The sequence below is a fragment of the Homo sapiens genome, chromosome 9 (assembly GCF_000001405.40).
Source record: "Homo sapiens chromosome 9, GRCh38.p14 Primary Assembly".
NCBI lineage: Eukaryota > Metazoa > Chordata > Mammalia > Primates > Hominidae > Homo > Homo sapiens.
The window spans coordinates 138,032,138-138,046,408 of NC_000009.12; the positions used below are offsets into that span (position 1 = coordinate 138,032,138).

Consider the following 14,271-nt stretch of genomic DNA (forward strand, 5'->3'; position numbering starts at 1 on the left):
TTTTTGAGTATATCTCTTCTATAGGTTTTTTAAGACCTCGTATAGGTTTTTTTAGTGGTTGCCCTGTGTATTACATTATATATACATAACTTACTCCAGTTTCTTCATGTAGTCATTTTACCAGTTCATGTGAAATATAGAAGCTTTACCTCTCTTTATATCGCTTTTTCCTCTTCCATTTGTAATGTAATTGTCTTAAATAGCTCTTCTATGTACTTTTAGAACCACATCAGAGTATGTTATAATTTTTGCTTCAACTGTCACACATAATTTAGAAAACTCGAAAGGAGAGGAAAAGTGTGTTGTATTTACCTGTATTTTTACTCCTGTTATTCTTTCGTCCTTCCTGATATTCCAATATTTCTTCTTTCATAATTTACTTTCTGTTTAGGGGAACTTCCTTAGGCATTCTTTTGTGGTAGGTCTGCGGGTGACAAATTCTCTTAGTTTTCCTTCATCTGAGAATGTCTTGATTTTCCCTTCATTCCTGAAGGGTATTTTCAGTGGGTATAGAATTTTGGGTTGACAGTTCTTTTTTTTTCAGCACTTGAAAAAAACGTGTGCCTCTTCCTTCTGACCTCCATGGTTTCTGATGAGAAATCCACTGTCATTCGAATTGTTTTCTTCCTATAGGTAAGATGTTGTTTATCTCTTGCTGCTTTCAAGATTTTTTTCCTTGTCTTTATATTTCAGAAGTTTGATTACAGTGTGCTTTGATGTGAGTTCCTTTAAGTTTATCTTGTTTGGGGTTTGCTCAATTTCTTGAATTTGTAGGTTTATATCTTTTGCCAAATTTGGAAATTTTTCATCCTTTATGTCTTTAAATACTTCTTTAGTTCTGCCTCTTTCTCTTTTCTTTCCAGGACTCTGATGACATGAATATTAGATCTTTTGTTATAGTCCCAAAGGCCCCTGAGCTCTGTTCACTTTTTTAAGTCTACTTTCTCTCTGTTGCTCAGATTGGATCATTTCTATTATTCTATCTTCCAGTTCACTGACTCTTTCCTCTGTGCCTTCCATTCTGCTGTGGAGCCCATCTATTGATTTTCTAATTTCAGTCACTGTATTTTTCAGTTCTGAAGTTTCCATTTGGTTCGTTATATCTTCTTTTTCTTTCCTGAGACTTTATTTCTTTGCTGATAATTTTATATTTTTCATTTGTTTTAAGTGTGTTTTAAATTATCTGTTGAGCATTTTTATAATGGGTGTTTTTAAAATCTTTGTCAGATAATTCTAACATCTGTATCATCTTGGTGTCTGTTGATTGTGTTTTCTCATTCAAGTTGAGATTTCCTGGTTCTTGGTGTGATAAGTGAATTTTGGTTGAAACCTAGACTCTCAGTGGTATTGTGTTATGAGCCCTAAGTCTTATTTACATCTTCAGTTTTAGCTTGTCTACTGTGATGCCACGCCAGCAAGTAGTGGGGCATATTAGTCCTTTCTCACACTGCTATGAAGAAATACCTGAGACCAGGTAATTTATAAAGGAAAGAGGTTTAATTGACTCATAGTTTCACATTGCTGAGGAGGCCTCAGGAAACTTAAAATCATGGCGGTAGGCAAAGGAGAAGCAGGCACCTTCTTCACAGGGTGGCAGGACAGAGTGAGCGCAAGACACTTAATAAGACCATCCTATCTCGTGAGACTCACTATCACGAGAACAGCATAGGGGAAACCACCCCCATGATCCAATTACCTCCATCTGGTCTCTCCCTTGACACGTGGGGATTATAGGGATTACAATTTGAGGTGAGATTTGGGTGGGGACACACCAAACCATATTACAGGGGTTGTAGAGAGTTGCCCCATTATTGACAGATGGGAATAGAAGTATGGATTCTTCACTTGAGTTCCACTGACATTCTAGGGGAGAAGGATTACTCATTACTGCTAGGCTGGGCTGGGAGTTTTAGCTCCCCACTAGGCTTCCATTCATACCGGCCTGACTGGGAGAGATAGGAGTATCTTGTTACTGTTCCCCAGCTGGCTGGCCTTGACACAGTGGAGATAGACCTTATCACCTCCAGGTAGCAGTAGAAGTCCTGACTTTCCACTAGGGCTTGCTCCATTGAGTAAGAGGAAGAGATTGTCTCATTCCTGCTGGGTGAGACGTGACGTCTAGGCTCCCCGTGTGATCTCTACTGGCATTGTGTGTATTGGGGGTCTTGTTACCACTAGATAGGGATGAAAGTCCCTGCTCCCACTTGGCTCTCTCTCAGACCACCCTAGCAGGGGCTTTGGGATGGTGGTGAGGGTGGAAGTCTAGGCTCCCCACCCAGTTTCTGCTGGTATAAGTGGAAGTAGGGTCATAGTTTTTTTTTTTTTTTTGGCTTGTGTGTGTAGTTTGGCTATTGTTTAGTGATTATTGTCTATAAGTTTTATATCTCGGTAGGCTGCCCCTTTCCTAGTCCTTTCACTAGGGAGAGCTGGGTTTATTGAGCCTTTAAAAAATCTGTGCCTATTGGCATTTCTGGGTTGTTGGGTTCACTAGTACCAAATCTAGGATATATATGAGGCATAAAAGAAAACTCAAATAAGAAACTTATTGTTGTGTCATTCCTCAGGTCCCAAGGTCCCTAGCCAATATTTTCTTTCTTCCTTCTACCTGTTAGAATCTTATATTTGCCTTATATATGATGTGCAAGGATCTTGTAGTCCCCCCTTATCCATGGTTTTACTTTCCCCACTTTCTGTTATCTGAGGTCCACTGTGGTCTGAAAATATTTATTACATAACTACTCTCGCACTTTGGGGCCATTATTAAGTAAAATAAGGGTTACTTGAACATAATTACTGCAATACCATGGCAGCCAACCTCATAACCCAGATGGCTGCTAAGTGACTAATGCAGTCCAGGTGGGACAGAGCAGAACGGTGTGGGGTTTCATCATGGTACTTAGAACAGCTAGCAACTTAAAACTTATGAATTACTTCTGGAATTTTCCACCTGCATCACAATGCCTGTGTCATTCACCTCAGTTCGTCTCATCATGTAGGCATTTCATTATCTTATAGCATCTCAAGAAAAAGATGACCGCTGGCCGGGCACAGTGGCTCATGCCTGTAATCCCAGCACTTTGGGAGGCCAAGGCTGGTGGATCACTTGAGGTCGGAAGTTTGAGACCAGCCTGGCCAACATGGTGAAACCCCATCTCTACTAAAAGTACAAAAATTAGCTGGGTGTGGTGATGGGTGCCTGTAATCCTAGCAACTTGGGAGGCTGAGGCAAGAGAATCTCTTGAACCCAGGAGGTGGAGACTGCAGTGAGCCGTGAGCTGTGATCGTGCCACTGCACTTCAGCCTGGGCAACAGCGAGACTGTCTCAAAAAAAAAGAAAGAAAAGAAAAAGATGACTGCCAGTATCTGTAGAAACTAGTTTCTTATTATTTTTTAAGTTTCTGATGGATTGGTAGTTGTGGCCACTTTTATATTTCTGATAGCCTTCCCTCCCTCCCTCCTTCCCTCCTTCCCTTGATAAGCCCTTTTTTCCCTGAAGTTTTGTCCACTTAAATGGTTTATCAATGCCCCAGTCTTTGTCTTTCTTGATCTTCTCTGTTGTATTTTTGTTTTCTGTTTCACCAGTTTCTGTTCTTATTTATTATTTCCTTTCTTCTACTTTGTGTATGTGTACTGTAATATTCTTTCTCCAATTTATTAGTTGGATACTCAGCTCATGACATTGAGCTTTTCTACTTTGCTAATGTGTTTAAAACTTTAAGTTTCTCTCTGAGAGTTATTTTAGTTATATATTGAAAGTTTAAATTTTTTGTTTCAAATATTTTTTCCAAGTGTGATTAAGAATTCTTGTTTGATTCATGAGTTTTTAAAGTAAGTAGGATTTTAAATTTCTAATTGACAGAGATTTCTCTATCTTGTTCTCTTTTCCTATGTTTTGCAGTTGATTCTGTTATTCCTTTTCATATTTCATCACTCCTTATATTTCGGATCATCCATTGGGTTTCTTTCCCCCCCGCCCCTTCTGCCTGAAGAACAGCTTTCCTAATTTTTTTTTTTGTTTTTGAGACGGAGTCTCGCTCTGTCGCCCAGGCTGGAGTGCAGTGGCGCAATCTTGGCTCACTGCAACCTCCGCCTCCTGAGTTCATGCCATTCTCCTGCCTCAGCCTCCCGAGTAGCTGGGACTACAGGCGCCCGCCACCACGCCTGGCTTATTTTTTATATTTTTAGTAGAGATGGCGTTTCACTGTGTTAGCCAAGATGGTCTCGATCTCCTGACCTCGTGATCTGCCTGCCTCGGCCTCCCAAAGTGCTGGGATTACAGGCGTGAGCCACCGCTCCCGGCCTTCCCCTAATTTCTTTTAGTGAGGTTTGATGGTGGTAAATTCTCTTGGCTTGCCTGAACAGTCTTTATTTTGCCATTGTTTGTGAGACGTGGTTTTACATCGTAGAAAATTCTCATTTGTTATCTTTATTTCAACATATTGAGACTGCTCCACTGTCTTCTGCCTTCTGTTGTTTCTGTTGAGAAGCCAGTCATTCGTCTAAATTTTTTTTCCTATGTATGACTGTCTTCTCTCTGGGGCTGCTTAAATAAAATCAATTTTATTGTGGAAAATTGAAACATACGGGAAAGTGGAGAAAATGCGGTGAACTCCTGTGCTCCGTCTCCACCCACATTTTGCCAATGTTGTTTCACTTACGCTTCTTCTTGCTTTCTTGTGTATCATTTTAGGTGTAATACGCCAATAAGCATGTCTGACAATTAAGGATTTATCATAGCTGTAGAGCATTATTACACTTAGCAATGTTGACAATAATTCCTTAATATTATCTAACACCTATTCCAAGTTCAAATTTTACTAGTTATTTCAAAAATAACTTTTTACGGTTGGTTTGAGTCAGGATTCAAATGAGGTTTACTCATTTGGGTTTGCTTAATCTGTCTAAGTCTCTTTTACTTTAAAAGAGTTTTCCTCTGCTTATTCATGCCATTTATTTGTTGGGGAGAACATATGGTTTGTCCCGTAGAATTTCTCAGTTTGGTTGTTTGCATCATGGTGTTGTTTGGTACAGTCCTCTGTCCTCAGTGTATTCTGTTACCTGGTAATTAGATCCGGAACAGGGCTTCTCAGCCTTGGAGCTGTTGAAGCTCTATTGTGGACCGTGGCCTCTGCATTTTAGGATGCCTAGCAGCATCCCTGGCCTCTGCCTTCTCAATGCCAGGAGCACCCACTAGTTGTGACAACCAAAGGATGTCTAGAGACCGTTGTGAAAGAATCCAGGCCGGGCTCAGTGGCTCACATGTGTAATCCCAGCACTTTGGGAGGCCAAGGTGGGAGGATCACCTGAGGTCAGGCATTCGAGACCAACCTGGCAAACATGGTGAAACCCCATCTGTACTAAAAATACAAAAATTAGCCAGGTGTGGTGGCAAGCGCCTGTAATTCCAGCTATTCAGGAGGCTGAGCCAGGAGAATCGCTTGAACACGAGAGGCGGAGGTTGCAGTGAGCTGAGATCGCGCCATTTCACTCCAGCCTGGGCAACAGAGCGAGACTCTGTCTCAAAAAAAACAAACAAAAAAAAAAAGAGAGAAAAAATCCAGTTCCCTTCTTTTGGAAGGCTTCCAGGTGGTGGTGTACACTTCCTGCCATATGGTATCAGGAGCTCTGTCATGTCTGATGTCTCTTTGGGTGATACTAACATGGAGCAGTGGGTTCAGCCTGATCTGCCATTGTGAAGTTCTCCACTGGTCTTTCCCTAAATGGTTCTAGTGACATTGATGATTGTTACCCAGATCTGTGAGTTCAGTGAGGGTCGCAAAATGGTGAATTTATAATTTCATGATTCTTTCTGTGTTTGTTATTTTGACTTTTTCTGTAAGAAAGATCTTACCTCATTAACTGCTTGGTTACCCTGAAATTCAGTTTGTATGTGTATTAAACAAGGTACTTGGTTCATTCTGTCCCTTTATTTATAAGTTTTCAAAATAATGAATCAATGCCCTATTAACAAATAGGACCAGTGAGAGCTAGAAGAAAATTATTCTTGTAAAATTTTGAATTTTAACGTGTTTGACGTATTTCAGTTCTTTGCAATCACTATTACTTTTGGTGCTTAAATTGTCCTATCTTGGCCAATGTTCACCCTTTCAAGTTGATCGTTCTGCCCTTCTCACAGGCCTGGAGTAGAGTTTGACAGTTATCTGGTTTTCGTCTATGACAGCATGTTCCAGGATCGTTGTGCACACTTCCTGTCCCCGATCTGGAATTGCTCATTTCTCCAAGAAGCAGCACACGCTGGACACTGCCGTGATTCCTGTGGATTCCACCCCCCCACCCCTGTACTCTGGTGGCCTTTGCCTCCAGGGGCTTCCTCTTCAGCTCCTCTTCAGAGACTTCCCTTGGACTACAGGAACCACGGGAAGTGCATGGGAGTTTGCATCCCCCAAGGTGGCACTTAGCCAGTGAAGGGAAAGTGCAGGTGCAGGAGAGCCAGCTCTCTGGCTTCAGTCAGTACAACCTTCTGGTTCAGATGAGAGCCCAGAGTGTCCCTGTGGGAGCCTAAGCCACCTTTGCAGGACCTGGTCTGAAGTGCACCCTTGCTCGGCTTCTTTACCTCCCTGTCTTGCTTTTGTCTTCCCGTCTGGAAGCCCGTCTCACCTCACGGTGTGCTTCTGTAGAACCTGACTGGAGATGCCCTGGCTACTTTGATGAGATAGAGTATTTAGAGACAGTCATCTGTGGTCATTGCTTCTGGGTTTTTATTGCTTTCAGGCTTTTTGGTGGGCTTTTTAAAAAGAGAAAAGTGGCTGGATGCAGTGGCTCACTCCTGTAATCCCAGCACTTTGGGAGGCCAATGTGGGTGGATCACCTGGTGTCAGGAGTTCGAGACCAGCCTGGCCAACATGGCAAAACCCCGTCTCTGCTGGGAAAAAAAAAAGTGTATAAAAATTAGCCGGGTGTAGTGGGGCGTGCCTGTAATCCCAGCTACTCAGGAGGCTGAGACAGGAGAATCGCTTGAACCCAGGAGGCAGAGGTTGTAGTGAGCCAAGATCTCGCCACTGCACTCCAGCCTGGGCGATAGGGCAAGACTCCGTCTCAAAAAAAATAAAAAATAAAAAAAAAAAGAGAAAAATATGTCATTAATTCCGTGGCATTTGTAATTCAAATAGAAGATTGTAGGATTTTAATCTCACTTTTGTATTTATCTCTTTTCTTCTATCCTGAAACTGTCTTTTTGTCTTTTTACCTTGCTTATTCTGTTTTTTAAAATGGTATTGTTTAAAAGTTTTTTCTTTCCTAATTATTTGCTTCTACTGCATAGAAATAATAAGCAGTTTCGTCTGTTGGTTCTGTGTTCAGCCACAGAATTATCAAACAAACTCTCGTTACTCTAAGTAATTTTCTGTAGATTATTTTGTTTTTTTAGGACACAGTTGTACCATCTGTGAATATATCATTTTTGACCCATGAATTCTTTAGTCTTTTTTTCAGTTTCCAAATGTAAAATTTTAATTTTAATTAATCTGTTTGTTTCTGGTTTCTGCCTTAATTTCTAACTTAAGTTAGAACTTAAGTTAGATTAGGAGAACATGATCTGTATGATAGTTTTCTTTGAAATTCATTTGCATTTGCTCTGTGCCTTGGCTTTATGGTCAGCTTTTTTCATGGTCGGCTTTTGTTCTTGTTCTATATGTGCTTCCGAGGGATATGTTTTCTCTAATTTTGTGAGCTCTGAGTTTTTTATATTTGTATGCTAAATCAGGTTTGTTAGTTGTATTACTCAAATATTCTTTATATTCATTAATATTTTGCTTGATTGATCTGTCAATAATTTTGTTTTATTTTTATAGAGTTAGTGGGGACAAATGCAGTTTTGTTACATTAGATCTATTGTGTAGTGGTGACATCTGGGCTTTTCACGTAGCCATCACCTGGGCTCAGGCCATCCTCCCACCTCAGCCTCTGCAGTAGTTGGACCACAGGCGCACACCACCATACCCAGCTAATTTTTTATATTTATTGTAGACATGGAGTTTCTCCATGTTGCCCAGGCTGGTCTTGAACTCCTGGGCTCAAGTGATCCACCTGCCTTGGCCTCCAAAGTGCTGGGATTACGGTTGTGAGCCACTGCGCCTGGCCTATATTTACTTACTTTATGTATCTCATCTAAGAATTCCTGTATCTGAAGTCTTTAGGGGTGTGAGTGCACTCATTGTTTCTGTTGTGTCTTTCAGTAATGGTGACCTTGTTTCATGGTGTGTTTGGTGATATTGCTTGAGTTCATATATGACTGATCTTAATCCTTTGTATTAGTCAGGGTTCTCTTAGAGAGACAGAACTAATAGGATATATATCCTATATATATATGTATCTCCTATATATCATATATATATATATAAATGATATATGTATGGGAGTTTATTAAGTATTAACTTACATGATCACAAGGTCCCACAATAGGCCGTCTGCAAGCTGAGGAGCAAGGAGAGCCAGCCCGAGTCTCAAAGCTGAACTTGGAGTCCGATGTTCGAGGGCAGGAAGCGTCCAGCACGGGAGAAAGATATAGGCTGGGAGGTGAGGCCCGTTGTCTCCTTTTCACATTTGTCTGGTTGACATTCGCTGGCAGCTGATTAGATGGTGCCCACCAGAGGAAGGGTGGGTCTGCCTTCCGCAGCCCACTGACTCAAATGTTAATCTCTTTTGGCAGCATGCTCACAGACACACCCAGCATCAATACTTTGTATCCTTCAATCCAATCAAGTTGACGCTCAGTATTAAACATCACATCCTCCTTTTCTCAACTAAGGTTTTGTGAGCTAATTAAGCCCTACAGAAAATGAATTAACAACGTTTTCAGTTTTCTCAAGGATGGAACATAGCTTGTACCTCTCCAGATATGTAGGAGAGAAATCCTTTCTCTTGGGATATCTTTAGATATCTTGGGAAACAATAGCTTAAATTATCTCCAAATTCCCCCTAACCTGTGGGGACTCTGTAGGCCAACTGAGGAAGGTTTTTGTCAGAGAGGATTTGCATTTGTTGTTTCCAGAAGCCTGAGGTGCTGCCAGTCCAGGCTTACTTTAGCCCCGCTTTGGGGATGATTCCTATTCAGCTTCCCCACCTTGAAGCGAACCCAAGGCTTGGGACTCCTACCTGTGCACTGGAAAGAGCGGTTCCTCAGTTCAGCCTCAGTTTCTTAATCTGGAAAGGGGAACCTGTGCCATCGCATGCTGTTAGGGGGAGTAAAGCACCTGGGCCGTGTCTGGCATGTGGCTGTTTTTAGTGAAAGCTCTCTTCCTTTCTGTATTCCCCTCCAAAGCTCGCTGTTTTGCTTCATTGTCTCCTATTTCAGGGATTTAATTTTTTTAACTATTAAGTCTTTTTAAAAATAGCCTTTCTCCTAGCCTTTCTCCAACAATGACTTTAGTCTGTTGCAGTTTTCATTTTTATCCTTTCCGTTCTTTCTTCTGCTTTGACTCAATTGACATTTTTTTCCTATGATTGATGACTTTCATATGATTTTCCATGTTGTAGTAAATCGATTTCAGAGAAATAGTTCCATCCGAGCCCTGGCATCTTTGTCCTGTTTATTTCGAGCAGCAGAAGTCTTCATTGAAGCCAGACTGATTCTTTTTTCCTTAATTTACTTAAGTTAATTAATTATTTATTTATTTTAGAGACAATCTCATTCTGTCACCCAGACTGGAGTACAGTGGTGCCATTGTAGCTCACTGTAACCTTGAACTCCTGACCTCAAGTGATCCTCCTGCTTCAGCCTCTGGAGTCGCTGGAACTGTATGCACGCGCCAACACACCCTAATTTTTTAATTTTAAATTTTTTTGTAGAAACAGGGTCTGTCACCATCTTGCCCAGGATGGTCTCGTTGCTTGAGACTCCTGGACTCAAGGGATCCCTCCCACCTTGGCCTCCCAACGTGCTGGGATTACAGGCATGAGCCACCACACACAGCTGTGGCATGTTTAATATCCATAGTATGGTGCTTCTTTTAAATATTGCATATTTTACTTAGTCAGTTTATGGTTGTGCATTTTATAATTTTTGTTATTGTAAAAAAACTTACAACACACGCCTGTAAGCCCAGCAGTTTGGGAGGCCAAGAAGGGCGGATCATTTGAGGTCAGAAGTTTGAGACCAGCCTGGCCAACATGGTGAAACCCTGTCTGTACTAAAAATACAAAAATTAGCTGGGTGTGTTGGCGTGCGCCTGTAATCCCAGCTACTCGGGATGCGGAGGCAGGAGAATCACTTGAACTCAGGAGGCAGAGGTTGCAGGATGGTACCACTGTACTTCAGCCTGGGCAACAAGAGCGAAACTGTGTCTCCTGTCTCAAATTAAACAAAAACAAAAAAAAAACTTGCAACAAAACTTTTGGGAATACATATTTTTGTGGGCATGCTTCATTTCCTTAGTAGGTAATGTCTAATAAATTAATAGAATTTTTTGGGGCTTCAAGTAAGTTTTGCCAGATTGCTTTCTCAGATTACATAATTTTTGTTTTCAACAGGGAAGTTTGATGGTGCCCATTTCAAAAGTGGTCGCTTTAAACTGCTTGTGCTCGTGGGCAGGGGCTGGTTATCTTGGCTCTGGAGCCAGCATCCTCGGTGGTATAGACCCCACTGCTGTGGCCTTCGCTGTTTTCATGCTCACCTCGAAGCTTTTTTTCTCTGGCACAGCCCTTCTCTGCAGGACCTCAAAGTGGCCAGCAGTCAAGGCCTCCACAGCGGGCTCTGGGGATTAGCACCTTCACTTTGTTGCTTCTTAAACTCCTATTTGCTTTTATGTTTCTTTAAAGAACTCAAAATGAGTTGCAGCAGTGGGAGGCGGCTCCAAGTCACTGCACGTCTTCCTTGGTGTCCCTGAGGTCTCAAGAGCTCTGTCATCTATAAGAATTGAAATATACAATAGGATAGTTGAAAATGAAGAATTATTGTGAGAAAAACACTGGGCAGGGACAACAAAATTTACCTAAAAAAACAAGGTGGCGGCCATATTAGCCCTGGGGAGTTTGATTTGTGGGAGCACAGCTGGGGTGTGGTGGGGTGCTGAGCGGTAGAGGATGGGCCCTCGGGGAAGGAGGCGACGAGTCGGGGCCTGGCGAGGGAGCAGGGCCTGAGCAGAGGCTGGGTCCCCCTGGGAAGGGCGTCCTTCCAAGCTCCATGGCCTCACAGGACCCTCTCCTGGGATCTCGAGGAAGAAAATCCCAGGTCAAGGGAGACTGGACAACGAGGTACAGGGAGCCTCTGTGGGTTTGTGGATCGGGGGCTGGCCCCTGCTCCTCCCTGTGCTGCGGGTTCGAGGTCCCAGCAGAGGCAGTGGGAAGGTCTCACCAGGCTCTGGGCTTCTCAGCGCATCGAGGCCCCTCAGCGCGGCAGAGGGGTCCACAGCCACGGGTGCTGGGCTCGGTGTTGTTGCCAACGTTGGTGCAGCAAGAGGTGAGGAAGGGTCCGTTAGCGTCTCTGCGGCAGATGGTGGTCCTGGCTGTCGTGCGCCACGGTCATGTACGTGAAGCACTGTTCTTAGCTGCTTGCCCATCCCTGGTGGGCCTGTGAGGACCTGACGCAAGTGCCGGGGGCATGGGAGCTGGGAGGGAGCCACGCAACGTGGGCTTCATGTGCACTACACCCCTTACTCGGGGGCCCTGTGTCCTTGTAGGTGGTAACGTGGACCTGGAAAGCCAAGCAGAGGGGAAGAAGGAGGTGGAAGCGGATGACGTGATGAGGAGCGGCCCCCGGCCTATCGTCCCATACAGCTCCATGTTCTGTTTAAGCCCCACCAACCTGTGAGTCTCCTTGCCTGCTGGTGTGTGTGGCCGCCCACTCACCCATGCATCATGACCCGTGGGATCTCAGTAGCCAGCGTGCACTGATTCTGCGCACTTATGTAGAGAAACGGCTCTAAATCCCATGGCAGACCCCAGAGGCACGTGCCCGTGTGACCTCATTCTGCAGAAGAGGACACGGGCACAGGAGGCAGCCTCAGCGGAGCTGGGGTGAGCTCCAGGCCTGGGCTCCTCACCTCCTCTGTGGTGTGCGTGTGTCTCTGCACACAGGGACGCCGTCTGCCCTGTGTCGCAAACACACTTCCATCCATCTGCCTTCCCATCACACCTGGCACCTGTGTTGCCTGCGTGTGTGCACTGTGTTTATTTGCATGTCTATCCGTGTGTCCACGCCTGTGCTTTTCATGCATTCATCATCCACTCTTCAGTCCAGGGCTTCCATTAGTCCAGCCAGTGTTTCTGTGGCAGACAGCACTCTAGGTCCTGGGAATAGTTAGGAATGAACAAAACAGGTGAGAACCCCTGTCCTTGCTAAGCCTGTGTGCTGGTGGGAGAGGCGGACGACAGACACGACAAATAAGTAAAAGACATAAGATGCAGATAGTGTTAAGTACTAGGAGGAAACACAAAGCAAGGCATGGAGATGCGGACCATTGGGTGCTAAAACTTAGATGAGAAGGTCAGGTGGGGCTTCTGGGGTGAGACTGGAGCAGAGCTTGAGGAGGAGGAGGCAGAGGGAGAGGCAGACAGGGGTGGAACCACACAAGAGCTTGCCCGGCCAGAGCAGGGGCTGGGCAGGTGGACGGGAGGGCAGAGGGCAGCAAGGCTGCATGGACGTACCCCTGTTCGTTACCGATCTGCCCATCCCCTTCTTCTTTCACCACCCAACCGTCTTTCTACCAAGCCCTGCATTACCCCGCTCCCTGCCTCCTCCCCCCAGTCACTCTTTTATCCAACACACATGTCTTGGGAGCTTACCCTGCTACGCTGCGGTTAGGAGTAAAGCGGTAATGGAGACAGACGTGGACCCTGCCATGTCAGGACTGACAGTGCAGTGGCAGGTGAGGGGTGGTAACCCGGTGTGGAAATGGAAACACAGGAAGGCACTGGCATTCTGGGAGCAGGTGATAGAAGGCCAGGGAGGTTTTCTGGTGGAAGTGACATCTTGGTTGAAACCTGAAGGATGAATAAGAGTTAAGGTGAAGAGGGGAGAGGGGAGGAACTAGCGGAGCATTCACAGTAGCCCAGAAGTAGAAGCCAGCAGTTGGCACACAGCCAAGGACAGAACTGGGTCAGAACACAAAAGGGTAGGCAGAGCTGGCTGGTTGTTCTGTTGTGGGGTTGGGGGGTTGCACCATCCCGGAGCACACTGAGAAGCGTGGGACGTGTGCACAGTGGGGGTACTCGGATTGCAGCCCAGCAGGGCCCTTTTATGGGGAGACTACAGATGGAGGCCACTGAGTAGATGGTAAGGGTTTCAGGCAGAGAGAGTGGTGGTTTGACCAGGGTACTCATAGTGTTGAGGTTTGGAAGTCAGGTGCGTATGGAGGAATTTTAGAGGCAGAATCTACAGAATTTGGTGATAAATTAGATGTGGAAGGGGAAGGAGACATCGAGGATGTCTGACTGAAACCCAGTTTCTGCCTGACAGTGGCGGAAGGCACTGCGTTCACTGAGACCAGCAGTGCTGCTGGGGTCCCGCCTGCAGACCCTGCAAAGCCTGGGGTGGCTGGGGATGTCTCATGGCCAGGTGGACTTAGGATCTGAGCTGGGGGCTAGAGCTGAGTGCCAGAAACCCAGACACAAGTTGGAGTGGATGACGGCTGAATTAGAAGGAAAGGCAGGGGAAGTGGCAAGGGTTGAGGCAGCAGCAGGCTGGCGGTGGGCCAGGGATGAACAGCTCTGTGGACACAGGGGCAGGAGCTAGATGGCTGAGTTCCCTTCAAGGAAGAGGGAGATGTGGGCAGCCGCTTAAGATGAATGGCCCTTGGGGGTTCGCAGGTGTGGGTGAGAGGAAGAGCTTAGAGGGGCTGGGGGCGGTGGACACGCCTGCGAGGCAGGGGAGGCATCTCCAGAGCACAGCCCTCGTGATGGGGGCCGTCTGCCCCACCTGCTCCGTCCACGGCTGCCTCTTCTGGTCCCCCACCCGTAGATGGGCTTCCCAGCCTCCTGGTTACTGTGCACTCTCACGTTGTGGCTCTGCCAGTAGCAGGGAGGCCCCTGCTTGTTGATTTCCTCGCTGCTTCCTGGTGTTTTGACTGCTGAATGGAGCTTCATCAGGCCTGTTCTGGTCACCCCTGTGTCCCCCAGTGTCCAGCACATGCCTGGCAGGGTAGGTGCTCAGTAATGTTGAACAAGCGAGTCGGGCAAATGGGACTGGAGCAAAAGGCGAGCACGTGGCAGTGTGTGGAGTGTGTCCCCGTGCAGCGTGTTCACGTGGAGCGTGTTCACATGCACCCTGGGAGCCTGGACAGGGCACACACCCCGCACAGGCCCCAGAGAACTTTC

The 14,271-nt window shown here is 45.5% G+C and overlaps 1 protein-coding gene and 1 long non-coding RNA gene across 3 annotated transcripts in view; one reads left to right on the plus strand and one right to left on the minus strand.

Annotated features, from left to right (window-relative positions):
* CACNA1B (calcium voltage-gated channel subunit alpha1 B) overlaps positions 1-14,271 on the plus strand; it is a 246,838-nt gene that overhangs the window by 154,356 nt on the left and 78,211 nt on the right. For both annotated transcript variants that reach the window (NM_000718.4, NM_001243812.2), the window contains exon 21: positions 11,637-11,763. In NM_000718.4, coding sequence (NP_000709.1) covers positions 11,637-11,763 — 127 coding nt within the window. The remainder of the gene's footprint in view (positions 1-11,636; positions 11,764-14,271) is intronic.
* On the minus strand, positions 8,366-12,934 carry LOC101928786 (uncharacterized). Its single transcript, NR_121582.1, has 3 exons — positions 12,742-12,934; positions 11,312-11,650; positions 8,366-10,864 (listed from the first exon to the last, which is right to left on the minus strand). It is a non-coding gene; the product is annotated as an uncharacterized LOC101928786 (long non-coding RNA).